This window comes from Homo sapiens, chromosome 3, assembly GCF_000001405.40.
Source record: "Homo sapiens chromosome 3, GRCh38.p14 Primary Assembly".
NCBI classification, from domain to species: domain Eukaryota; kingdom Metazoa; phylum Chordata; class Mammalia; order Primates; family Hominidae; genus Homo; species Homo sapiens.
In genome coordinates this window covers 52282120-52307416 of record NC_000003.12, presented here as the reverse complement: position 1 = coordinate 52307416, position 25297 = coordinate 52282120, and the positions used below count along the sequence as shown (strand labels likewise).

Here is a 25297-nt window from a genome sequence, read left to right as displayed (position 1 = left end):
CCACGGGCCACGCTGCAAGAACAGCAGCCCACCCAGCTCCAGCCTCCCATCATTCCCACTGCCCCGTCTGAGCTGGGGCTGAAGCCACACTTTGCTCAGTTGGGGGTGTAACAGGCATGACCTGGCTAGCTTTTGCATTCACAGACCTCTGACAGGGGAGGACATGGGCTCAGAGAGTTACTCTTCCAACTGCCTATAATGGGAAGGCACAGAGAGATGAAGGGCTTGCCTGAGGACACACAGCTAACTGGTGGCAATGGACGTGAATGGCTCTCAGGCCCTTTGAAGGAGCACTTTAAGCCATGACGGGGTCCTGTCAGGGTGGAGTCTAGACTCTTTCACACCAGGCCAGGCCAGGCTAGGATAAGCAGAGGATCACTTAGACAGCTGGCCTCCAGGGTCCCTACGGCAGCACCTTCCACCCCCAGTTGGGCCTTGGCTCCTGAAAGCCAAGTTTACATCATCAACTTCTCTAGCTTTGGGGTGGGGTGAGGTGGTCTTGGTTCACTAGACAGATATGGGGGAGGCTTCAAGAGCAGGGTCCTTCCCTGCTGGCCCCTGCTGGCCTTGACCCTGCTGGGGCCTCCAGATCAATGGCTCATTGATCAATGGCTCCAGATCAATGGCTCATTTGAATCTCTGGGTTCCTGGGGCTGGAGGGGTACCCTGTCCCTTGTGTAAGCAAAATACATCTCTATGCTAAAGATGGATCAATCTCTGGGGCAACCCCCTCTCTGGAACTCTAGGCTTATATCTGACAACTGTTTCCCTTGGCACCTCCAGCCCTATCCAGCCCCAGGAGTCCCAGTCCTAACACAGACAACCCAGAACCCTTGATTTCCCTCTCCCTGGTCTGCTTTTCCCAGCATCCCCCTCTTCTGAAAATGGCCATGCCATTTGCTCATGTGCTTAAGCCAGAAACTGAAGAACTGCCCTGGACAACCCTCTCTCACACCCTACAGCCAACCCTTCCTGAAGTCCTGTTGGCTCTGCCTCCAAATAACATCCCCAAATGCCAGCTTCCCACCACCTCCCAGCAAGCACCCAATCCTGGCCACCATCCTCTCTCATCTCGACAGTGTCTCCCTTGGTCTTCATGGAGCCTCCACAATCTGGTCTCCATGAGGCTGTCACAGTGATTTAAGGGAAAAAACCACTCCCTAGTTCAAAATCCAATGACTTCCCATGGCACTTAGAATAAAGTCCACAGGCCTTAGCCCAACCGACAGAGCCCCACCTGCCTCGCTGGTCCCATCCACCTCCTTTCCCTTCTCCTTGCCCCATTGACGTGGGCTGCCCTTCAGGACCTCACAGGCCTCAGGGCCTCTACACTGCCTACTCCTTCTGCCTGGAATGCTCTTCCCCCTGACCTTTGGATCACTCAGATCTTGGCTTAAACATCATTGCAGCCTTCTCTGGCCCCACGCCCTAAAGTCTCCTCCTAGGCCCTAGCCCTGTTAGATCGCCTCCTAGATCACCATGTTAGAATCTTCTCCGTGGTACCTGTTAGCATCTGAAAATGCTGTGTCTCTGTCTCCCTTGAACGTCATCTGTTTTGATCCCTACTGAATCCCCAACCTATAAACCACATGCCTGGCACACTGTAGGAACTTTTTGCTAAATGGGTGTTAGAGGAATGCCTTGACTTTTTCACAAGTGATTAGAGTCCCCAGCCCCTTCCTTGAGCTGCCCAGAGCCCACCCAAATACCTCAGGCCAGAGCATAGTATTCTTGAATCCTACGTCCTGGCCCCCAGCCTCTGCTCACACGGTCCAACCACCTGGAATGCCCTTTTCCTATCATTTGCCAACGGAAATCTGGCCTGCCCCCAGACTTCTGACCAGTGAGGGAGTGGGTGGGGACCACCACCTGTTTGAACTAGTGAGCTTGACTTGGCCCTTGGCCTTGGCTCTTCCTGAGATTTATCTCTGCCTACTCTTTGGAGAGAACTCCTTGGGCCTGTGTCTGTCTGGACTCTAAGGACATGAGCCTCTGGAGGTGCTGGCCTTCATCTCTGCCTGCTCATTGCTCCCCATTCCTGCCCCAGTAGCCAATCCCAAGGTGGCTGGCCTAGAGTCAGCACATAGCAAACATTTGATGAAGGAAGGAGGGTGGGTAGGTACATGAGGTCCCCCAGCTGTAGGTCCCATCTCAGGGCTGAGGATGTGGCCAGGTCTGAGTATGAGCCTAGGCAGCTAGCCCAAGTGAAGAGAGGCTGCCTCCAGCTCTACCCAGCCCCAGGAGGACCAGTCCTAACACAGACAATTCAGGATCCTCCCACCAGCCAGCATTCCCCTATGACTATGGCTATGCCATTTCTTCCTTGGCCTCAGGCTCCCCTCCTGTGCTAGTCCTCACCTCCTTGGCTTGAAAGGGCCTCTTTCCTGAGGCTGAAAAGTCCAGGGGCACCAGGCCAGATGGCTTGGTGCTCAGGACCTTCTGGCCCTCTGGCCACAGCCCCCACCTCCTCTGAGAGGTGAGAGTGGGCTCCTCTCTCCTCCTGGCAGCACTGGCCTCTGCCAGTGGATCTTCACTGTGCCATCTCACAGCTTATGCCCCAGCGTTCATAGAAATAAGGGGATTTTAGTCTTGTTGTGACTATTGCCTGTAACCAGAGCTGCCCACCAGCCATCTGTGCGCCCACCCCACCTGTGCCCTGCCTGAGGGGCTAGGCCCCTGGAGACAGTTCTGACTGGCAATTCCCTTTGTCCAGGCTAGACCCTCTGCCCTTCTGAACTGGAGAATCTCTGTCTCCCATCTAGAAGGCCTGGACTCTGGGTGTCATCCCAGACCTTCCCACTCAGTGGTACCCGATCTTACCAGCAGTATTCCCAGCTGGCTGAACCCTGGTCTCATCAGAGCCCCTCCCACCCTGGATCCTAGATCTAGAGCCATGCGGTCAGGGCAGGACAGACTTGAGGACGCTCAGTGTGAGGGGAGTCACTAACCTGCAAGGACCAAAGCCGGGGTTTGGGACTTGGTGCTGTCCTTTACTGGGTCTTGCTGCCTTGGTTTATCCACCTAAGAGGCAGAGACATTGTTGTCATTTAGCAGGATGTAGGTGACGCCCATGAGATGGAAGCATGAAGTGCGTTGTAAACCTAGCATTGGTGACTTCACCTGAATTGCTATTGAGGTGGAAGCAGGGAGTTGAGGGGTTTTAAACACCAGTCTAGCCTCTAAGAAGGCTGTGGTTCCAGCACTGCAGGCTGAGCACAGGGATCAAGTGAGATCACAGGGCCTAGGAAATGGATTCCCTTCTCTGCAGCCAGGGACCTTCATCTGTTTCATTTATGCAATGGGGCTAACCCAGAAAGGGGCAGGTCACAAAGGGAAGGGACAGCTCTGAGGACATAATCTGGAAGGAGGGAAGAGGGATGGCAAGTTCCTTGGGTCCCACCTCCCAGGGGGCTCTGGATAGGCCCAGGATGTCTGAGATCATGCAGTGTAAACTCTCTCCTTTGACAAGAGGAAACAGACCCAAGGGAGAAGTTCAGCCCAGGTCATCCTGCTGGGCCAGAAGTAGGGTTGCTAGGGGCTGATATCGGTTCTAACAGCACCTCCTTGAAGGCCCTGGAGCCTCAGTTTCCCTACCCGCACAATGGTGGCACTGACTCCCATCTTCCTTTCTTCCCTTCCTCCCCACAATGGCCCCCACTCAAGAAAGCTGTGAGGTTCGCTGAGGTTCACCGAGGGGAAGGCTGTGGACAGAGTCAGGGCTCTGCCTCCTAGCCCTGTATAAGGTGGAGGAAAGGCTGAGGGAGCCAGGAGCCTGGGGACCACCTCAGTAACTCCAAAGGCAGCCCCACTCCTTCCAAGGGAAAGAGGCCATTGGGCAGGAGACCTCCTTGGGGGTGAGGGGGAATATGCCCAGGCTTGGGGAGTCTCCAGCCATAACAGGCTCCCTCTTGGGGTTGGCACTGCCATGACTGGCTCTACCACCTTCCTTGACCTAAGCCCCACTTTCCCCATGAATCCAATGAGGATAACAGGGATCATCCCAGTCCTGCCAGTCTGTGGCCTCCTGGGGCCACGAAGAATAGCCTACTGGCCAGTGGGTATCAGATGGTGGCTCTTATGAACAGCAAAGCCCTAAAGAGAGACAAGACAGCCTGCTAATGGTGGCATTTCAGGCAGAGAACTTGGGGGCAGAGGAGCCTGCAGTGCTCAGCCCCCTAATCGCAGACACTCCAGCCAAGCCACCGCCTCTGCCTTGCCCTGGGGCTGGGGTCAAGGGTGGCAATGTCTGTTGAGGATGTGAGTAGGCTCAGTCAGGGACTCCATTAGCCCAGGAAACTGCCTTTCTGTCCCCACTTACTCTTCTCTCCTAGGCTATGGGCTGCCTGCAGTCACCTCACACACACAGCAGCCGCCACCATCCACCCATCTCCCTCCCTCCAAGCAGAGGCAGCTGCTAGGCCTCCATGCTGGAACCAAAATTGAATGAGCGCTCTCACAATGTCGCCTCCCGCTGACAGCTCCTAATTGCATGTTGAAGCCATGTGATGGAGCCCGAGTTACACTAATTATGTCATTACCCTAATTAAGTAAATACTGTACGTGCTAATTGGCTGAAATCTCTTCAGGGGGATGGGCACTGGTGTCCCCTGGGCTTCACTTGGGTGGGCTGGAGGTAATAGAGGAGGGTGGGGGCCCGCCCCTCCCTGGGGTCATCCAGTGGGCGTCAGCGAGGGCCCCTGACCACAGCCCAAGACTGGTGTGCCTGTGCTGCAGGGGAGGATGCAGAAGGCGTTGACCAAGTGGTCAGAGACCCAGGTCAAAGGCCTGACTTGACCTCGACAGGCTGGTGGTCTTGAATAAGCCCTTTCCTCTTTTGATGTGGGCCCCCTTGCTGTCCTTCCCCTCAGCCAGCCCAGGGCCTGTGGCCTTTCAGACATACTGGGCACGGGGACACCAGAGGAGCCCAGTGTTCAGTCATCTATGGATGCCAGTTATGTGCCTGACCTGGGGCAGCAGGAGGAAAAATGGCTGATGACTGAGCAGAGCCCCAGTTCCTAGGCATAGCACCCAAGTAAACTAGCAAAAGGACAAACAAGGCTGGCATTTCCAGGAAGGCATCTGAGGAGGGATGCTCTGAGGAGGTCTGGAGGGCTTTCTGAAGGAGGGGGACTTCACTTACAAGGGAGAGAGAATATCACTGCATTAGAACTCAGGTCATCTCCAAGGTGTGATTTCTAAATAATACCAAACTTTTTTTTTTTTTTTTTTTTTTTGAGACAGTCTTACTCTGTTGCCCAGGCTGGAGTGCAGTGGCACAATCGTGGCTCACTGCAGCCTCACTCTCCTGGGCTCTGGTGATCCTCCCACCTCAGCCTCCCGAGTAGCTGGGACTACAGGTGCACATGATCACACCCGCCTAATTTTTGTATTTTTTGTAGAGACAGGGGTCTCACCATGTTCCCCAGGCTGGTCCCAAACTCCTAACCTCAAGCAATCCACTGGCCTCAGCCTCCAAAAGTGCTAGGATTACAGGCATGAGCCACCAAGTCTGGCCTAAATACCAAAATTCTTTTTTTTTTTTTTTGAGACAGAGTCTTGCCTTGTCACCCAGGCTGGAGTGCAGTGGCATGATCTCGGCTCACTGCAAGCTTTGCCTCCCGAGTTCACGCCATTCTCCTGCCTCAGCCTCCCAAGTAGCTGGGACTACAGACGCACGCCATCACACTCAGCTTTTTTTTTTTTTGTATTTTTAGTAGAGACAGGGTTTCTCCATGTTAACCAGGATGGTCTCAATCTCCTGACCTCGTGATCCGCCTGCCTCGGCCTCCCAAAGTGCTGGGATTACAGGCGTGAGCCACTGCGCCCGGCCAATACCAAAATTCTTAACCATGACCTTTGGGTGGGAGTTGGGAGGAATGAGAACAGCCATCTGAAGGAGGGTCTCCGGATGGGACTCCAACCTACTTGGGGGTACTGGGGGTGCAGAAAGAACGCAGCCCTGTGTCAGGGACCGGTATGGAAGCCTCAGTAGGGCTGGAGCCCCATCATGCCCCTTCCGAGCAGATCAGCACAGACCAGCTGGTCAGGTGGACTCCATCCCTGCCCTGTCCTCACGGAGCTGTAGGGAGAGTCCCAAAGGCAGGTGGTGGGGCTGGGGCCTCCAACAGCTGGGTCCTCTCATATCACTTAGGGCCCAACAGCACACAGTCTCCCAAGTGTGCCAGGTGCCACAGCACGGCCATCCCGCTCTCCCAGCTCCACCCCGCCTGCCTGCCTGCCACCATCTCCACAAACATATGCTGCAGCTCCACACCCGGGAAACACCACATGCTCGCTTTGGTGGGCAATGGCTCCCTCCCCGCTTGCTCACTTGCTTCCCAGGACCCCAGGCCCAGCACAGCCCCCTACCCCACCTCAAGCCCTGGGCTGGCCCAATTCCTAAGGTGGCCTTGGTCAGTCCCCAGATCTCAAGCTCCCAGTAGGTGACATCTGCTCATTCCTTGCCTGTCCCAGGCCTTCATTCATTCCACATAATGTGGTCTGGGATCCCGTGGGCTGGCTCCAGAGACAGAGACAGATAGGAAGCAATCCTTTCAAATGTCTGCAACTTACTCAAATGAGTAAGAAAGAAAATATGTATGTCTATACACACACACACACACACACACACACACACACACACACACACACAGAGCAAACGGAGCACAATATTCACAGTAGTTGAACATATCCCCAAAAGAGCACGTGTGTCTTTTGTACTATCACTATTCTGGCAACTTTTCTGTAAGTTTGAAATCATTTATAAATAAAAAATAAAGAAGAATAAGGAAAGAAAGAAGGAAGGAAGGTCCTTTCCCTTCTCCGAGCTCTAGGCTATAAGAAGAGACAGCTGGACAAGTGGCAGCCAAGTCACTGTACCCCTGCTGGGTGGGGCCAGGAGGGATTCCCTGAGGTGGTGATAACGGCTTGGGGAGGCAGGGTCTAAGGGGCACACACCTCTGACCCTTGTATGGAGGGTGGCACTCAGGGGCTGACTCTCTGGGAGTCTCCCTGTCACAGCTTTAGGCAAGCCCTCGCTCCCTCCCCTTCTCCTACTCTCCAAATAACGTGCTCTGGGAGTCTGAGATAAGAAAGGGAACTTCCCTTGGTCACAAGGTGTGGGAGGGTGGCTGGAACTTCTGTGCCTTTGAGTGTAAGAGGAGGCTGAACTGGCCCGGGGGCTGTGCCTGGTGGGGTGAGAGGGTTGGGACGGCCCTGCTCAAGGCCATCCTGTCCTCCCTCCCAGTGAACGAACGCTCACACAGACTCACCGAGCTGACTTCCCCAGGCAGTGCCCTTGCCTGTCACAGCAGCACTTGGCAGCAGGAGGGCAGCAGCAGGGAAGTGGCTCATTATTTCATCCTTCATTAGCTCGGCATTAGGCAGCCTGAGAATTGTGGGGTGTGGAGTGGGAGCCTCTGGTTCGGCGGTCTTGCAGCTCCGTGCCCACCCCTTGCAGCCTCCTTCCCCCCACCCGCTCTCTCTCCCCTGCTTCCCTACCTCTTTGATCCCCACTTCTCTCCTCCCTCCCTGTGCTCCCTACCCTGCCCTCCTCCCTGGGATGGAGGCAGGGCACACACTCTCCCTAAGAGGGGGCTTCCCCTACCCAGTTCTCAGTCACAGGATAGGCCCCATCAACCATCCCCTTCCCGAAAAGACAGTGACACCAGCATCCTCATGTGTGGTCAATCATGGTGTGTGTCCCGGTTGTTCTGAGCCCTCAAAGAATGACTGGGACCCCTGCCTGGCCTCACAGCCCATGTCCTCTCCTCTCCACCTCAGGCCGCCACTTCAGAGCCTGGACCGCCCCAGAGTGTATCTGCCCCCCACCCCCACTCCAGGAAGCTCTGGCTGGGATGCTCAGGGCTGGGGCACCCAGGGGTCAGCAGAAGCCGATTCCTCCATTCAGATGCCGTTGTTTCTTTTCACGTCTTTGTTGCCTTGCCACTGGCCGCAGTCCTCCCAGCCAGCCCACCAGCCCAGCCCCTTACCCAACGGCTGGCAGGTTCCCCTCCCTGCCAGTCCCCTTCATGCATGGCCTTCTGCCATTCAAGTCCTACTGGTCTCCCCTGAGTCCAGAGCCTGGCATGGGACGGGGTGGGGCCCCTCTGCCCAGCTCAGCCATCAGCCACCAGCCCCCTGCAACCTGCCTTTCACCCTGCTCCTCTCCTGCCCACGCCCCTCACTTGCCCTCTACCTCCTCACCCTGTCCCTGCTCTCCCGCCCCTCTAACAGTCTCCCCACTCTCAGTCTGGCCCCTCACCTCCCCTGCCCCCTCCCCATTTCCTCTCCCCTCCTCTACTGGCCCTTTAGTCCCTGGGTGTCAGGCTTTATCTCTCGGTGGGCGGCAGGCTCGTTGTTCTCCCCTCCCCTCTCCTCTTCTCTCTCATCCTCTCCCTTCTCTTCCCCCTCCAGCCTCCACTCCTTCGCCCGCTCACTCACCCTCTCCCTCTCCCGCTGCCCCCCCTTTCTCCCCCACCTCTTTGTTTCAGCTGAGAACCAGCTCCTCGGGACAGTTCCCACACTGCAGTGCCTCTGGTGAGGAGACAGCGCCACTGAGGTGAGCCTTGGGGATCTGGGGACACAGGCATGGGGTGGCCGGAGCCCTGGGGGGCAGGCAGATGGGGAGAATGCTTCTCTGCCCCAGGCAGTGGGGAGCAGCAGTGGACTGCCAGCTTCAGGTCCCCCGGGGGTCAGCAGGAGTGGGAGGCAGAGGGGTGGCCAGTTAGCCGAGAGGGACAAGGCTGGCCGGGAGCTGGCAGGCTCCGTTCCTGCCTGGGTGCCTGGCTTCTGTGGGTGGCCCTGGGCTGAGAGAGACCCTCAGGGGGACCTGAGAGGGTGGGCGGGGGCTGGGCTGCCTGGAACAGTGTATGCCCAGTCCTGGAGTCCAGGGCTCTGACCCTGACTCTGACTGGGCTGCTGCTATGGGGTTGCTGGGTGCCAGCAGCGGCACCGTCCAGGGGACTGTGACCCTCACAAGTGCCTGTGCTAGCAGGGGGGTTGGCGGCTGGCTGGAATGTGCTGGGGCTACTCCCACTGCCCAGGTGGAGAGTCTGAGTGGAGGGAGAGATCTTCCCCCTGCCATAGGCTCACAGGTTTTACTCCAAGCTACTGATCCCCAGACCCATAGACCCACATGGTAAAGACAGGCACTTCTCCCTCCCCTAGGGGTCTTTGACCAGCTCCCTCCAGACAGCATCCCTAGAAGAGCTTTGCCCAGAGTTGCAAACAGCAGGGTTTCAACCCAGAGCCTAGATATTCCTGCAGTCAGCTTCCTGGAACTGGGCTGGACAGGGAGGAACGGGGGCTCTGTGGATAGGGGTGGGGAAAGCAGGTGGAGACAGAGGCCTGGCTCCAATGAGGCTACAAGTGTGATTTTTGGAGACAACCAAGGGCCACAAGGAGATCTTGAGACTCTAAAGCTGTGCAGGTGGGTGGGAATGATCTGAAGGGGCAGAAGCCAAGTGCCAAGGGCCCCACCCCCTTCTCGGCTGGTAGCGGGGATGGAGAGGCAGGGCTGGAGAAATGTATGGCTCACACCTTTCCAGGGAGGTGGGCAGGGCGGCTCTGCTGGCTGCTAGTGGAGGAAAAGAAAAGGCCAGCCCAGACGTGAAGGGACACCAGGGAAGACCTTCTCAATGGGATGCATTTTGGGGGTCTAGCCTCTGGCTCTCTGGTTGGGGCACAGCCAAGTCCTACAGCTCCCTGGCTCCCCAAGGAGGCAGTGGTGGGCCAAATCCTGGTGAGTAGTGGTCCCATGAGGCGGAGCTGCTAAGGGCAGTGGCCTCATAGGACTGGGCAGATGGGGCACTTGTTCCAGGGGCCAACTGTTTTGCCCTCTTCCCTTGGCTAGAACTTCCTCATCTGAGCAAGGCGACAGCTGCACCTGCTCCCACCCCTGCCCCCTAGAAACCCCCGGATGGAAGCAGCATGTCTAGAGAGGTGGAATCAGAGCTGTGGGCACGAGCTGGTGCCAGGCTGAGTGTCCACCCCCAGCCCACCCTCCTCCAGCCACTACAAACCAGCTGAGTCAGGGGAAGTGGAGAGCAAAGCCTCAGAACTGGCCCTAGCGGTTACTGGGGAGATGTCTGGCCCACAGCCTTGGGGAGAAAGCCCATCTCTCCTGGGCTGGGCACAGCTCACGACAGCCCCATGGTCCTATAGCTGATGTGGCAGCCTGCCTAGGTCATTGGCTTCCCTATCATCCAGGGTGTGTGTGTCCCCCACCCCTGCATACCCCCTCCCTTCCCCTAGCATATCCCAAATCCTCTTACCTAGCTACGGATTCTGGCCTGGGGTTAAGCCAGTCCTCCCTCACCTCAGTCTGGGCCTCATCATGCCCCTCGCACATGACCCAGACCCAGAGGGAGGCAGGTTGCCCTACCCATTTTCCAGAGACATTAGGGGGCTCTCTTCCAGGCGGCTCAGCTCACTCTGACTCCAGGCGATCATCCATCAGCTCCGTGATCTCCCAGGGCACTGTACACCCTACTGGCCATTAAAGACTCAGATACCATTCCCTGCTGGTGCCTGCCTAGTGCCAGAGGCCAGCAGGTTGCTCACTCAGCCTCAGTCAGTGAGCGCCAAGGTCCCGCTGGCTCTAACTCTGGTCCTACCATGGGAGAAGAGGGCCTCCCTGAGCCAAGAGCTCCCTGAGATTCCCCTTGGAAGAGGCCAACACCTCTACCTTCTTTCTCTCCCTCCCTGAGCTCCCCACTTCCACAGAGCTTTCCCGCACAGATCCACCTGCCGCTGATACCTTCCTAAAGAGATGATAGGGCAAGGATGTTTTCCCCATTAAACAGATGAGAAAACAGGCCTGGAGAAAGGAAGGTGGGAAGGCCAGGACTCGGACTTACCACCTGACTCCTACTCCAGTGCTCCTTCCAAGCCACTTAAATGCCACCCTCGTGAGATCCTACATGAGTGGGGTCCCTATGCCCACCAAACTGTCCACTAGCTGCCCAGCCTCTGCCCCCACAAATCCTCAACACCCTGAGGCATTCCCAGAGACAGATGGGCTCAGTTACTCCCAACAGTGTTTGAGCCAGGGCTTTCGGCCTTGGTTCCAAAGCAGGCATCTAAAGGGTTCCCTGGGCTGGCTAAAGGCTTTGGAGCTGAGGCTGCATAGGGGAGGTGGGAGAGGGTCTCAGAGCCTGGTAATGCACCTCTCCTATCTGCAACCCCTTCCATCTCCTTGCATGCCCCCAACCCCCGCCCTCTGCTGTAAGGAAGCTGGCTCTCAGCATTAAAGTCCCAAAACAGCTTCATGACATTATTCCCTGCCAAAATCTTCATGAGGTTTGCCACTGATGTCAATGTGAAGTCAACTCCCTCGGCCAGGCACACTAGCCTCTGCCAGTCTTCTGGGCCTTCTTGCCCAACTTGCTCATTGTATCCCCTACACTCTAACTACACCTGTGTGTCTCCACCCTGGGATGGGGCACAGCAGAGCTCAGAGACTGGCTGTGGGCTGCACTACACATACACATGCTTATACATATATTCATGCACACGCACACATGCACACACACACAGATGTGCATACAGATGCAGACACACATTTATGTAGAAGCCCACCACTCAACTGCGCATGGTTTTCTGCCAAATCACACACACAATGGAGCTGTCCCTCTGAGACAAGAAGGTTCCAACACATCTGCTGTGTGGATCCCTGGAGAGGCCAAGCATGGTTGTGTCGCCATCCCAAGCCCTTGAGGGGCAGTGGGGAAGCAGAAGTAGATCCCCTGGATCTGGCTGAGCCCTTGCTTGGCCCCAGGGTATCTGAGCCCCAGAGAGTGGCAGAGGATAGTCAAGCAGGTTCCAACTAGGTTCTTACCCTGGTTCTGTGGCCCTTATGTGGGACTGTACAGTCCCCAGTAAGCCACCTTCTCTCTCTGAATCTCCAACTATAAATCAAACGCTTGGGACTAGCTGACACTGAAGGGCTGCCCAGGCCCACTGCCCCACTGCTCTTGGCTCATGCCAAGTGCAGAGAATGGAGAGGCCTGTGAGGGTTGCTATAGCCAGCAGGGCCAGACACCCTCCATGGTGAAATCCTCCAGCTGGGCCAGGGGAAGCTTCAGAAAATGACGATGAGGTGGGCACGAGGGCAGCAGCAGCCGGAAGAAACAGAAGCCAAGAGCAAGGGACGGGCACTTCAATGATCCAAAATTGACATTTATGGAGCAAGTAATGAATCCTATCAAAACATTCACTGTGCAGGGTTTTCTCATCTCAGCATTTAGACTGTGGCCAAATACATCCTTTCTTATCTCTGGGGTATCCAGTGAGCAAATCTAACGGGTTAGGCTCACAGACCATTTGGCCCTATGGGGTCCAATCCGGGCCCTGGCCTCCCAGCCCCTACAAACAGAAGTATAGGGAAGGGGTCAATGTAGAGCAGGGGGAACCTCCTGCAAGATCCTATCCATACCCAAAGCCCTCAGCAGGGATGCAGGGAGTCATGTGCCCTGTACTAAGTATCTATGTGTACACTCAGAGATGCATTCCCACTCTGAGTACGCCAACACCAACGTCTGTATACTCACACACCTACCACCCACACACACACTGGGGACATGGCTGCCAGGCCCTCAGCTCCTGCAGCCCCTGCCCCAGCTCTCCTATCCTGCTTTTGCCTGGAACTTGGAACCCAGTGCCAATACTCATGCTCCCAAGAGCAAGGACTGAGGCAGGAACAGGCTACATGTAGACGCTGCCAGAGGAGCACCACGGCACAGGATCATGCGAGGATCACCATAACCCCAGAGACTGTGACCCTAGTCAGCAGGAACTCCATGCCAGCACAGAAGGAAAGGAAGCGGTGCCTGCGCATCCCAGTGGGGTGCAAGCTCCCCTTTTCCTAAACCTCCCTGGTCCCCAGAGCCCGCTTACCACGTTTACCTCCCTCCCAATCTCCAGCCTGCCCTGTGTGAGCCAGGCCCCCAGGTCATGAACTGTCTGCAAGCTAGGCTGCCCAGAGCCCAGGTGGGGAAGGGAAACCCTTCCCAGGGGAAAGTCCTGCCAGCCCTGGCCCAGGGCCCCTCCACACCCTCAGGGAGGAGGGGAGGGTTGGGGTGGAAGAAGTGCCTGCAAGAGCAGCCCCAGGCCTCGCTGTTCTCTATGGCTTTTTATTCCTATGTGATTCTACTGCTCACTCATATAGGGATTGGAGCCGTGGCGCACGGCGGGGACAGCCAGCGGAGGGTTCTGACACTGAGCAAGGGGGCTCAAAAGGAGGCAGGACAGTGGCACCTCCCTCTCTCAACCCAGGCTGCTGGCCAGGCCAACACAGCCGTTCCTCTATTCCCACTTGCCTCTTCTCCCGCCAGTGGTCACAGGAAGAGGTGTGGGTCACTGGACCTCATCACTGGCTGGACCCACCATCCCAGTGCTGGGACCCCCACTGAAGGGCTGACTTCAGGGTCTGGACTTGGTCCCCAGAGGAGTGGCTGAAGGAACTAGGGATGTTCAGCCTAGGACAAGGGCTGTCACAAGGAAACAGCACTGGGGGGTGGGACAAACTTCAGCTCAACCAGAAGTGCAGTATGTGGCTAAGGGCTGTCCAAAGACAGAAAGGACATCCATCCAACGAGGCCTACAAGCTGAGGCTGGAGAAGCCATGGTGACAGTGCCATGGTGGAGTCATGGTTGGGTGGGTGGGTGGCTGGTCACCCCAGACTGCAGTCTTTAGGCCTGTCCTCCCTGGGGTCTCTGCTCACGCACATCAAAGCTGTCAGGAGCCAAGCTCAACCCTCACACACTCCAGAGGGATGGGCACAGGCTCCCGTTATGCGAGGCACATCCTGCACGTACCCAGCCCAGTAGAGGGGTGTTAAGAGTCCTGCCAGGCCCTGGTACTGTGGCTGCAGCCGTACCACGCTCCCCTCCCAGCGGCTCCCCCGTGAGGCCTCACTCTGAGGGAAGGCGCACTGAGAACCCATGGCATGGTCCTATTTATTTTCAGACATTCTCGCTTCACAGAAAGAAACAGGGTGAGGGGCTCAAGAGAGAGGCTGCCCAAGGGAGAAGCACGGGAACGCTGAACTGGCCGAGGGGCTTGTCCTCATCCTCAGGGGTAGGGGGAAGCCCCCATCTGCCAGTCTGGCTGGAAGGGAATAGATATAGAGCAGAGGCCCTGAGTGGAAGGTGACAGTTAACCAAACAGCCAAGGCCAAGGAGAGGAGGGGCCCTAAGGCTTAGAGAGGCCCTGAGGACCAACCTTGCTCTGCCATCTGACCTTGCCCTTGTAGGCCTCCTCTGAACTCCCAAAATGTGACCTATGCCATCACCGAGGCCGCAGGAACAAGAGGTGGGTGTCCATGACATTGGTACCTGTCATCCCTGTGTGCAGCAGGTGTGCCCCACCCTGGAGGCAGCAGAAGAAGGTATGTGAGTCATTGTGGGCTAGGAAGGTGGCTATGTCCAGGCCCTCAGCTGCAGCCTGGCTGGCAAGCTCAGGTGTGACCCAGGCCCCAGCAGCCTCTGTGGGCCCATCCTGCCCATCGGTGCCACCGCTCAAAAACAGCACATCTATCGGCCCCAGCGGCCACCTTCTCAACTCTGCTCCAACACGCAGGGCCAGTTCCTGGTTCCGGCCACCCCTGCCCGAGCCCTGCAGCTGTACTGTGGGCTCGCCACCAGCCAGCAGGCAGACTGGGCCCCTTCCCCATGCCATGGTCTCCAGAGCCTCCTCCAGCTGCAGGTCTGGGATCTGAAGCTCAGCTGCCAGCTCATGGAGCTGTGCATCTTCCTCCACAGAAGCCCCAGCCATGGATGGGGTGAGGCGGGTTCTAGCCACATGGGCCAGCAGCCCGTAGAACTGGGCCATACTTTTTACATCACCTTGCATGGCTGCACTCAGCACCACAGCCTGGTAGCCCAGTGCCTCGGCCTGCCGCTGGGCCTCAGCTAGCGCCAGCACATTAGAGCCAATGATCACATTCAGGACATGGCCACAGGTGTGTGGCCCATGGGGGTCAGAGTCGGCCCGAGACAGCACAGTCTTCACAGAACGTGGCAGGGCTGCACGGAGGCCGTAGCGATTGAGGATATGCAGGCAATCTTGCACATTGTGGGAACTGGCCACGGTGGGGCCACTGGCAATCACCTCCACAGGGTCCCCCACCACATCTGACAGGATGAGGCTCACCACCTGGGGAAGGGCCACCAGACAAGGCTCAGGCCCACTTCCTCCTCCCCTCAGAGCCCATAAGGACAAACTGCCCCTAGGGTATCCACACACCCTCCCCCAACTCAGTGCATTTCCTTACCCATGGTTAACTCCTCTCACGTGGGCTTGCAAAACACCTGGTCATGCAGGCACCTCCTCCCCGTCTCTGGCACCCCTCCCATGATGTCACCCAGCCGGCCCCATGGTCTTTCACACCATGCCCCTGCCAATCTATATGCTGTTCTAGCTTTCACATCCCTGGCACATGTGGGCCTGGCTCCACCAACCCAAGGTTGCCTGGGGAAGAAGGGACTCATACCTGGGCAGGGTAGGCGGCCTGAGCCAGCCCCCCACCCTTGAGCTGGGACAGGGCCTTCCGAATGGTGTTCAACTCCTGGATGGTGGCTCCACGGGCTGCCAGCAGTCTAGTGAGTGTCTGCTTCTCCTCCAGTGTGACAGGTGGGATGGGGGCAGGCAGCAGAGCTGAACCCCCACCTCTCAAGACAATGAGGGTATCAGGTAGAGGGGCTATCCCAACCCAGGGAACCAGGCAAGCAGGGGTGACAAGCCCACATTAGAAAAAGGGGGCTGGAAAGGTGGGGTTAGGGTGCCCCCCTGTGGATATGCAATATGTGTACAGTCACCACATCCTGGCCACCTGAGGTTGCCCCTGCCTTGGGGTACCCCAGGTCCCAGTAGGCACCGGAAGAACTAACTACTCCTTAAGAGACTAGAACAGGAGGCAGGGCAGGGGGCACACAATGGAAGATCAAGGAGAGGACTCCATGAGGTCTGAGGGCCTAGCCCCAGGTGACATTAGTACAGACAGCAGCAATAGCAGTGACATTTTCCAAGGACTCTACGGATGTGTCAGGCCCTGCATTATGTGCTCCCCATGCACCCTCTCACTGTCACCGAAAAGGTCAGCTCAGGGGGAGGACTCCACAGCTCAGGGGAGGCCAGACGACTAGCCCAAGGCAACCCAGGAGTCACCATCCAGGCTCCTCACCACCTCCCTTGCTCCTAACTTTACCCTGTGACCCCGGGGGCTCAGACCTGATCTCTCGAAGACCTGAGAGATCAGGTGGTGCACCCCCCACCAACAGTCTTGGGCCAATGTGGTACCACACCTGAGATCAGCACGAGCAGCAGGTCATCAGCTGTGAGTCCCTCAGCCAGTTGCTGGATGGCCAGTGCAGCCCGCAGCGCATCGCGGTCCGGGAGGTTGTCCTCCGCACCCTCGAATACCTGGACACGGCTATGTGGCTTCAGCAGCATCTCCCTGGGGAGGGAAAGGTCAGCACGCAAGAGATGGGGTGGACTCCTCTCCTCCCACCTGATCTCTCAACTTTACAGGTGATGGGGGCATGAACGAAGATGCCCACTGACATGCATCCTGGGGCCAGGCCAGATCCAGGAGAAATGGGAAGCGGGTGGGGAGGGGAGGCCCGATTCAGCCTGTGTCTGGGCCCAGGTTTCCCTCCAGATAGATAGAGGGAGGCAGGCCCCCATGGCTCCTTACTGCTTGCCGGCACGCTCCATGGCAGCACGGATCCCCTTGGGAACGCTGATCACGCCCTGCACAAGATGCTGGCCCAGTAGTTCCTCAGCTGCAGCTGCCATACCCAGCACAGCCTTGCCAAAGCCCACCAGGTAGAGGTTTTGCCTCAGCTGAAAGTTCCGGTCCCGCACCTTCAGCTGTCTGCCACCAGGGTCCAAGGATAGTGCCCGGTGCAGCATGGGGCCCGGCAGCACTGCACCTACAGCACTCTCAAACAGCTGCCTGGCCTGCTCTGCCAAGGCCATGCTGCTGGCCAGACGGGCCACTGAGCCCCGCCAGAGGAGTGGATGCAAGGGGGCTCGGGCCAAGCGGGGCAGGACCTGCAGGGCTGCAGCCATGCCCCACTGCTCTCAGCACTGCCTGGCACCCATGGCTGCCTAGAGGGAAAAAGCACAACTGAGGCCCTTGCAAGGCAAAAGACAGGAGGTCCCCCACGGCCGCCCCTCTGAGGGCTCAGGGCCAGTGGACCCCACAGCTGCTGCTACAAGAAGGAGCCATCTGATAGCCCCAGGAGACTTCCTGAAGCCTGCAGCTGCAGGATCTTACTCGTCCTTGGAGACCAGCCCTGCCACCCAGCCACGTCCTCCTCTTCTGCAGACCACATGCCGGCCCTCTGGATACTCTGCCTCAAGTCCAAAGTTCCTATTAGCTGGGCCCTCCTCCCAGGTCACCCCTTTGGCTGGGAGTTAATCATTGACAGAGGGAGTAATTTCTACCAGTGGGCTCCCATCCCACCCCTTTTCCACCCCCTGCACTTCTGCGCTGTTACCCTGGGGCAACGCCCCTTTCTGGCACTCCTTCCTTGCCTCTTTACCACCTCTGCTGCCAGGAAGCTGTTGATTGTCCCACCAACTGACCCTGAGCCCATTGACCTCCAGTCTTCTCTATTTCATTATCTCATGAGACTGGGATTAGGAGCCTGGGAAGTCAGGGTCTATAGGAGGCTGCAGGTTTATCAGGTCAAACCCAGAACACATCCTCAGGGCAAGCAATCTGAGGAATCTCAGTATGCAGGACCAGTTCAGCAAGAGGTTTAGGTTCAAATCAGGAGTGAGGGCAAAGTCTGGCTCATGGTGGAACCTTAGAAAAGTCCCCAGGCACCATGTGAGGCCATGTGCCATGAAGCCCAATTGCAGGACAGAAAAGGATGCCCTTCTACCCACACAGTTGGCCAGACCCAACCCTGCCAAGAACACGCCTTCTGGTTCCAAGATAACAAAAACAAGTCCTAGGTCACACCACCCACAGTGGTGAGAGCCCAAGGGCTGAAGTAGGCAAAGGCCAGGCTCCCATAACTGAGCCCATAGCCATTTTCCCCACTGGGCAGAGTAAAAGCTAAAGAAGCCTTGGGGCGAAGGTCAGGAAGCTGTAGAGGGGTATAGGAACAACAAAGACCCAAACAGCTCATCTGTACTACATATGTACTATTGCATCTACTTTAATAAATGCCTACCATAAATGTTGCAAGCTGACTTCATCAGCAAGTATGGACTGAGCAGGGTAAGGAGGCTGGGAATTGAGGTTCCAGCTCTACTATAGGCTTTCTGAGTGGCTGGGACACCTCCATTTCTCTCACTGGGCCTCATCCGCAAAATGAGACATGGGGTGAGATTAACACTACGCTCTTCCCTTAACAACCTCAGGCTCTCTGATACTGTCCACTGCAACACAGATCTCAAACACCGGTTTACCCCACACCCAAATATGGTGGTTACTTCTAGACTTTGACCATTTTGCTTGCCTAGTTCTCAGCTCTCCGGTAAGAAAAGACAGCCATGCCTGACTTCTGTTGTGAAAGGGAACACAGAGGGCATCGTCATGGGGATTCCGAAAATGGGTCCAGTTTTGGCCAGGGGGACCCCTGGAGCTTGCCCATTGGACTTGGAGCTAAAAGCATCTTAGCAACTAAGACAGCCGGTCTTTATAGCCTGGATGAAATTTGTATCTATTTCCCAGATGGACAAGAGCCTAGAAGATCCCAGCCTTGCCACTGGGTATGAGCACAGGACAGGGGGACGCTCAATGCTAAGGCTGCCAGAGAAAATACAGGACTTCCGGTTAAATTTGAATTTCAAATAAACAAGTAATTTTTAAAGTATAAGTATGTGCATACAATGTTTAGGACTTAACAATTATTCGTCGTTTATCTTAACTCAAATTTAACTGGACGTGGCCCGGCGCAGTGGCTCACGCCTGTAATCCCAGCACTTTGGAAGGCTGAGGCGGGCGCATCACCTGAGGTCAGGAGTTCGAGACCAGCCTGACCAACGTGGTGAAACCCCGTCTCTTCTAAAAATACAAAAATTAGCCGGGTGTGGTGGGCGCCCGTAATCCCAGCTACTCGGGAGACTGAGGCATGAGAATCATTTGAACAGGGGAGGCGGAGGTTGCAGTGAGCCGAGATCGCGCCACTGCACTCCAGCCTGGGTGACAGAGTGAGATTCTAACTCAAAAAAAATGTAACTGGACGCTTTGCATTTTTATTTGCTAAGTCCTCCAATTCTATCCAAGACACGGTCTCTCCGAAACTCCGGGAGGCTCCAGAGCAAAACAACGGAAATAGGAAGACTACCGGTCTTGACTCCTCCCCGCCATCAAAGAAGGCTGGTACCATTTCCGGCTTTCCCTAGACAGTAGGGGGCCGGAAGTGACGTCATCCTAAGGTAGGGCCTTAGCGAGGGAAATGGCTGCCGCGTAATGCCCGGTGATGCGAGAAAGAAGGGCCTGCTGCCACCAGGACCCGTCATCGCCCAGCCCAGGGACCGCTTCTGAAGGCCATGCGAGCCCTGGCGGCGCAGACTTACCAGCCCACAGCTCCGGCCGCGGTGCCCAGCGCTGGAGAACGGAAGTACTAGGGGGTGGGCGGAGCGGAAGCCGGAAGTGTGGGTGGGTGGAGCGGCGCAGGCGGGTGCGAGCTCTGGCTGAAGCCGGTGTCCGGGAGGGGAGAGTTTAGCATATTGGCTCTTTGCTGGCCACTGACAGACCTGGAAGGAGTCACCTTCAGTCCTCATTTTTTAAATCTCTACATTGAGGGTAATAATCCCCGCCTCACCGATTGCCGATTTTTTTTTTGAGACGGGGTCTCATTCTGTCGCCCAGACTGGAGTGCAGAGTCGCGGTTTCGGCCCAATGCAACCTCCGCCTCCCGGATTCAAGCGATTCTCATGCCTCAGCCTCCCGAGTAGCTGGGATTACAGGCATGTGCCACCACTCCGGGCTAATTTTTGTATTTTTTAGTAGAGACGGGCTTTCGCCATGTTGCCCAGGCTGGTCTCGAACGCCTAACCTCAAGCGATCCACCCACCTCAGCCTCCGAAAGTGATGGGATTACAGACTTCAGCCGCCGCACCCGGCCTCTCCCTTCCTTTATCCTGTACGGTCAGTCAGCAGATGCACCCTGAGTGTCAGGCACTGACTGGGCTGAGCAAACGAACTGAGAATCACTACTTCCCCACAACTCACCCCTTCTGGAGCCAGATTAAGTAATTCCCGCTCCTCTCCATGGCTTTTATTCCACAACTTATTATTGTTCTTCCCTCTCCCACCATGGGCCACCAAATACAGCTCTGGCTTAGCAAGAGTTCCATTCTGCGATCCTCAAGCACATAAGCGGCATGTAAACGCTAATGACTCTGGGCCTACCTCGCTGTCCCTACTCTCATCCGGGGCCTACCCTGTGTTGGCTGGATGCCTTCCCACATTCATAAGATGAGTCCTGATCAGACTCCAAAAATACAAAACAGTTCACTGTTTTTACTGATGTTTTCTTAGGGAGATAGAGGAGAGAGTTGCATCACAAATCACACACTTGATTTCCTAACAATTTTATTGAAACATGTTTCTTGGCAGGGCGCAGTGTTTCACGCCTGTAATCCCAACATTGGGGAGGCCAAGGTGGGCGGATCGCTTGAGCCTAGGAATGCGAGACCAGCCTGGGAACATGGCGAAACTTATCTCTACCAAAAAAAAAAGAGCCAGGTGTGGTGGCATGCTCCTGTAGTCCCAGCTACTCAGGAGGCTGAGATGGGAGGATCACCTGAGCCTGGGAGGTAGAGGCTGCAGTGAACCTTGATCACGCCACTGCACTCCAACCTGGGCCCCTGTCTCAAAAAAAAACCAACAAACAAAAACACATTTCTTTCTCTTGGTTTTGAGGTGGAGTCTTGCTCTGTCACCCAGGCTGGACTGCAATGGCACAGTCTCAGCTCACGGCCACTGCACTGCAGCCTGGGCACGATGTCGGCTCACTGCAACCTCCGCCTCCCAGGTTCAAGCAATTCTCCTGCCTCAGCCTCCCGAATAGCTGGGACTACAGGCGCCCGCCACCACGTCCAGCTAATTTTTGTATTTTTAGTAGAGACAGAGTTTCACCATGTTGGCCAGGCTGGTCTCGAACTCCTGACCTTGTGATCCACCGCCCTTGGCCTCCCAAAGTGCAGGGATTACAGGCGTATAAACAATTACAGGCGCCCGGCCTATATAAACAACCTTCATCTTTCCCCATGCTGGAGAACACTAATTGCCACTGCTTGGTGTCTGTGTTTCCCTGGATGGCTGCCCTCACACTTTATGCTTGAATAAATTCTTTTAACTGGATATCGAACCTTTTGATGATTTTTAGGTTGACATTAGAAATGTGTTTTTGGGACAGGTGCAGTGGCTCATGCCTGCAATCCCAGTACTTTGGGAGGCTGAGGCAGGTGGGATCATTTGAGGTCAGGAGTTCGAGACTGGCCTAACCAATATGGTGAAACCCCATCTCTACTAAAAAATACAAAAATTAGCTGGGCATGGGCCGGGCACAGTGGCTCACACCTGTAATCCTAGCACTTTGGGAGGCTGAGGCAGGTGGATCACCTGAGGTCAGGAGTTCAAGACCAGCCTGGCCAACATGGCGAAACCCCGTCTCTACTAAAAATACAAAAATTAGCTAGGCATGGTGGTGTGTGCCTGTAATCCCAGCTACTGGTGGGGCTGAGGCAGGAGGATTGCTTGAACCTGGGAGGTTGCAGTGAACCGAGATTGCGTGACTGCCCTCCAGCCTGGGTGACAAAGCGAGACTCCGTCTCAAAAAAAAAAAAAAAAAAGATTGTTTATATAGGCAAAAACAGGAGTGCTGACCAGAATTACAACATTTTCCAAAAAAAGGCTAACATAAATACAAGATTTGGTTGGCTACTATTGATTATACTGGAAGGAGTTTGCTTAACATTCTATTGTAAAGAGACAACAATCACAAGGGTCTCTATCTCCCACATCATCTAGTCTAAGTCTGAATGAAGAATAGGGAGCCTGGTTAATGTATAACATTTCAATACAAAGATCAGGAAGCAGCAGTCATGCATCAGAGAAGAAAAAAAAAAAGCAATGCCTGCTCAGTTTCCAGGGCTTCACTTTTCTCCTTCACATTATAAATTGGGAATGTCCTAAAATTTTATTTTCTTTTCACACCCCCTACCTGCTCCCTTTGGCAGTTGCTACATCTCTCCTTAGGTCTCCAAACCATGCTGTGCTCTTGTCATGAACCTTTCCCTTCCTCTGGCCCCCACTTCCAGCTCTCTCCCTGGATTTTTCTTTTTCTTATATATACATATATTTTTATTTGAGACAGGATCTCACTCTGTCACCCAGGTTGGAGTTCAGTGCCATCATCTTGGATTATTGCAACCTCCACCTCCGAGGCTCAAGTGATCCTCCCACTTCAGTCTCCCAAGTAGCTGGGACCACAGACGTGCACCACCACACCCAGCTAATTTTTTGTATTTTTTGTAGAGAAGTGGTTTTGCCATGTTGGCCAGGCTGGTCTCAAACTTCTGCGCTCAAACCATCTTCCTGCCTCTGTCTCCCAAAGTGCTGGGATTACAGGTGTGAGCCACCACACCCGTCCTTCTCCCTGGATTTTTCCTTTTAAAATATGAGACTTTGTATTCCTTCTCCTAAATGATTTCCCACCACATCATCAAAACAAAGGCATCCGTAGGTGGAATTGCCCTCTTTAATGTGGGAGAGGTTGTAAATACTGAAAATTTTATTGTTTTTTCTTGGTTATAGTCAGCTATATTCCTTCCATGCATTTATTCCTTCCTCAGACATAATTCAAGACATTTCCTGAGTGCCTTCTGTGTGGGCCGAATGCTGTAGCTGCTGGGATAGGTAAGAAGTGGTACTTTTAATTTTAATTTTTTTTTGTTTTTAGGAGACAAAGTCTCACACTGTCGCCCAGGCTGGAGGACAGTGGTGATTACAGCTCACTATAGCCTCAACCTCCTGGGTTGTAGCGATCCTCCTGCCTCAGCCTCTCAAGTAGCTGGGACTACAGGTGCACACCACCATGCCTGGCTAATTTTTTGTGGAGACAGGGTCTTGCTTTGTTGCCCAAGCTGGTCTCAAACTCCTGGGCTCAAGCAGTTCTCCTGCCCCAGCCTCTGAAAGTGCTGGGACTATAGGTGTAAGCCACTGTGCCCAGCCTGGGCTTGCAGGGTTACTCCGTGGGAGGGAAGGTCAGCTGTGTTGGAGGCAGGGTAAAGTGGAGCTGTGTCCTATGTAAGGGCTGTACAACACCTTAAAACTGGGAGGCCGAGGTGAGCGGATCACTTGAGGTCAGGAGTTTGAGACCAGCCTGGCCAACATGGCAAAACCCCGTTTCTACTAAAAATACAACAACAACAACAACAACAACAACAACAACAAATTAGCCGGATGTGGTGTCACGCACCTATAATTCCAGCTACTCGGAAGGCTGAGGTGGGAGAATTGCTTGAACCCAGGAGGTAGAGGTTGCAGTGAGCTGAGATCACACCACTGCACTCCAGCCTGGGTGACAGAGTGAGACTCTGTCTCAAAAAAAAAAAAAAAAAAATTAAAAAAAATAAAACATCTTAAAGCTATTTTTCTTGGAAGGAGGAGTTGGGGAGAGTAAAACAAAACACTAGGAAGCAGTTCAGCATGACTCTAGGCAAGCACTGATGAGAGGCCACTAAAGCTGTGTATGTTGGATTGTTTGGGAGTTTTTAAGCCTTAGGAAACAGTGCTGTAGTTTTAGAGACAGTGGCCTTGGCCCTGAGACTCTAGGCAGTTCCTTCTGGCTCTGAGCAGTCAAGGCTTATCTGGGAAGATTCCATCCTTTCCTTCCAGACTAAGAAGGTATTATTTACCGACAGTGGTCTTTGTTAAATGTGAATGATTTCTTGTCCTTTGCCCTGGAAACAGAACACAAGCTTTCCAGTGCTGAAGCAGAGTGTGAATCCAGACTTCAGTGCTTATTGGTTAAGTGACCCTGAGAAAGTTAACCTCTCAGAACTTCAGAGTCTTCATCACAGTATGTTTCCAGTGCATGTAGAAAGGCTCAGTGTTGTTGCTGTACTAGTCCTGGGTTGAGCCAGCTTCATGGGTGTGTGACTTGTATAGTCAGAAGGACCCTGCACTTCATTTAATATTCTGTTGTTGTCATCTTGAGATTCTTAGCAATTTTTTAACAAGGGGCCCTACAAATTGGGTAGTTAGTCCTGCTGCCAGGGAAAGATACTTTCTTTTTATCCAGGCCCCCGGTCCTGGAGTCTCAAGACCTCTCTGAGGAATTCCAGTAGAAGTGGACATACATTAGTAACTAAATTTATTTATTATTTCTGGTCATATTCATGTATATCCCACAAGATTTTCCATGCACACACTTAAATTCTGTCTAAATAAAAATGGCTTACTTCATCCTTGTAATATTTATTTTTTTTCTTTCTTTTTTTTTTGAGACAGAGTTTCACTCTATCGCCCAGGCTGGAGTGCGATCTCGGCTCTGCAACCTCCGCCTCCCGGGTTCAAGCAATTCTCCTGCCTCAGCCTCCCGAGTAGCTGGGACTACAGGCGCACACCACCATGCTTGGCTAATTTTTGTATTTTTTGGTGGAGTCGCAGTTTCACCATGCTGCCCAAGCTGGTCTTGAACTCCTGACCTCAAGTGATTCACCCACCTTGGCCTCCCAGAGTGCTGGGATTACAGGCATGAGCCACTGTGCCTGGCCCTTATCTGAGGAATTTAGAAGGGAGCAAAGACCACCTGGTAACCATCCAACAGGCCATCCAGAGGCAAAACTCCTTATCTGGGGAAATTAGAAGTAATTAAACTTCCCTAGTATCTAAAGTGGGCATCTGGTTCCAGGCCTCTTTCAACTTTTATAAGTAACTAAAATTTCTAGGCATCTCTGGAATGTCATGCTGAAACTAATTTTACAACCCTAAGCTCCTGCCTGAAGGTCCATAAATGCACCTAAGGAAAATCCACCAAGGCCCTCAGTCCTCTCGCTGGGGTGCCCCGCTGCACTCTTCTGCAGCGTTCTTTCTTTCTAAGAAATTTTCCTTTTTCAAACCTATACTGTTGTCAGTAAATTTTTTGCCAACCTGTGAGGCGACCACTTCCTGGTGCTGGGGCTCAGACACCTCACCAGGCATTTTGTGTTCTAGTGTTCTGCGTTTCCTCTTTGGCAATTAAGCTCACACACACACACACTCAACTGTCCCAAAGAAGAGAGTCACCTGATTCTAGTTATTCCGAGGGCTGTGTAAGCACT

General features: G+C 54.6%; 1 protein-coding gene, 2 long non-coding RNA genes and 1 other non-coding gene across 18 annotated transcripts, besides 7 other annotated features; 3 read left to right on the top strand and 1 right to left on the bottom strand.

Annotated features, from left to right (window-relative positions):
• Window positions 6726–7595: an enhancer, noted in NCBI's record as "H3K4me1 hESC enhancer chr3:52333838-52334707 (GRCh37/hg19 assembly coordinates)". NCBI's record gives its function as "activates a minimal SCP1, AML or CMV promoter by ChIP-STARR-seq in naive H9 embryonic stem cells {active_cell/tissue: H9 hESC(naive)}" and the evidence as "EXISTENCE:reporter gene assay evidence [ECO:0000049][PMID:30033119]".
• Window positions 7596–8466: an enhancer, noted in NCBI's record as "H3K27ac-H3K4me1 hESC enhancer chr3:52332967-52333837 (GRCh37/hg19 assembly coordinates)". NCBI's record gives its function as "activates a minimal SCP1, AML or CMV promoter by ChIP-STARR-seq in naive H9 embryonic stem cells {active_cell/tissue: H9 hESC(naive)}" and the evidence as "EXISTENCE:reporter gene assay evidence [ECO:0000049][PMID:30033119]".
• Window positions 12160–19589, bottom strand: GLYCTK (glycerate kinase). 15 transcript variants are annotated; one of them, NR_026701.2, is made up of 6 exons: window positions 19541–19589; window positions 16698–17113; window positions 16306–16457; window positions 15495–15670; window positions 14225–15157; window positions 12160–14110 (listed from the first exon to the last, which is right to left on the bottom strand). NR_026701.2 is itself a non-coding variant. In XM_047447466.1 (6 exons), exons 2-6 carry the CDS (start codon window positions 17072–17074, stop codon window positions 14283–14285), a joined length of 1104 nt encoding a protein of 367 aa, XP_047303422.1. In that variant the 5' UTR covers window positions 17075–17113; window positions 19541–19589; the 3' UTR covers window positions 13946–14282. The 15 variants fall into 15 exon arrangements, 8 of the variants coding, with proteins under 8 accessions (NP_660305.2, NP_001138423.1, XP_016861219.1 ...); NR_026700.2 differs by lacking the exon at window positions 16698–17113 and having other exon boundaries at window positions 14225–14371; window positions 14848–15157; XM_047447466.1 differs by having other exon boundaries at window positions 13946–14371; window positions 14848–15157.
• On the top strand, window positions 13109–13198 carry MIR135A1 (microRNA 135a-1). The gene has a single exon (NR_029677.1). It is a non-coding gene; the product is annotated as a microRNA 135a-1 (primary transcript).
• Window positions 16518–17018: an enhancer, noted in NCBI's record as "H3K4me1 hESC enhancer chr3:52324415-52324915 (GRCh37/hg19 assembly coordinates)". NCBI's record gives its function as "activates a minimal SCP1, AML or CMV promoter by ChIP-STARR-seq in primed H9 embryonic stem cells {active_cell/tissue: H9 hESC(primed)}" and the evidence as "EXISTENCE:reporter gene assay evidence [ECO:0000049][PMID:30033119]".
• GLYCTK-AS1 (GLYCTK antisense RNA 1) lies at window positions 17684–18837 on the top strand. Its single transcript, NR_046719.1, has one exon. It is a non-coding gene; the product is annotated as a GLYCTK antisense RNA 1 (long non-coding RNA).
• Window positions 18758–19957: an enhancer, noted in NCBI's record as "BRD4-independent group 4 enhancer chr3:52321476-52322675 (GRCh37/hg19 assembly coordinates)". NCBI's record gives its function as "activates an origin of replication core promoter dependent on BRD2, P300/CBP, MED14 and CDK7 cofactors, and independent of BRD4, by STARR-seq in HCT116 cells {active_cell/tissue: HCT116}" and the evidence as "EXISTENCE:reporter gene assay evidence [ECO:0000049][PMID:35650434]".
• Window positions 18758–20004: a biological region, named in NCBI's record as "BRD4-independent group 4 enhancer GRCh37_chr3:52321476-52322675".
• Window positions 19263–20004: an enhancer, noted in NCBI's record as "NANOG-H3K27ac-H3K4me1 hESC enhancer chr3:52321429-52322170 (GRCh37/hg19 assembly coordinates)". NCBI's record gives its function as "activates a minimal SCP1, AML or CMV promoter by ChIP-STARR-seq in primed H9 embryonic stem cells {active_cell/tissue: H9 hESC(primed)}" and the evidence as "EXISTENCE:reporter gene assay evidence [ECO:0000049][PMID:30033119]".
• LOC107986086 (uncharacterized) lies at window positions 19397–25099 on the top strand. The gene is made up of 3 exons (XR_001740699.2): window positions 19397–19584; window positions 22826–22889; window positions 24486–25099. It is a non-coding gene; the product is annotated as an uncharacterized LOC107986086 (long non-coding RNA).
• Window positions 19822–19931: an enhancer, noted in NCBI's record as "active region_19938". NCBI's record gives its function as "activates an Ori minimal core promoter by ATAC-STARR-seq in GM12878 lymphoblastoid cells {active_cell/tissue: GM12878}" and the evidence as "EXISTENCE:reporter gene assay evidence [ECO:0000049][PMID:35858748]".
• Window positions 25100–25297: the final 198 nt, after the last annotated feature.

What these genes read in the sequence shown, in the direction of transcription:
- GLYCTK (NM_145262.4), bottom strand. Translation starts at nt 17,074, where the DNA reads ATGGCTGCAGCCCTGCAGGTCCTGCCCCGCTTGGCCCGAGCCCCCTTG. An exon ending in ATGGAGCGTGCCGGCAAGCA is followed by an intron (nt 16,458 to 16,697) that starts GTAAGGAGCCAT and finishes TTCCCTCCCCAG; the next exon opens with GGAGATGCTGCTGAAGCCAC. An exon ending in AGGCCGCCTACCCTGCCCAG is followed by an intron (nt 15,158 to 15,494) that starts GTATGAGTCCCT and finishes GCCCTTCCCCAG; the next exon opens with GTGGTGAGCCTCATCCTGTC.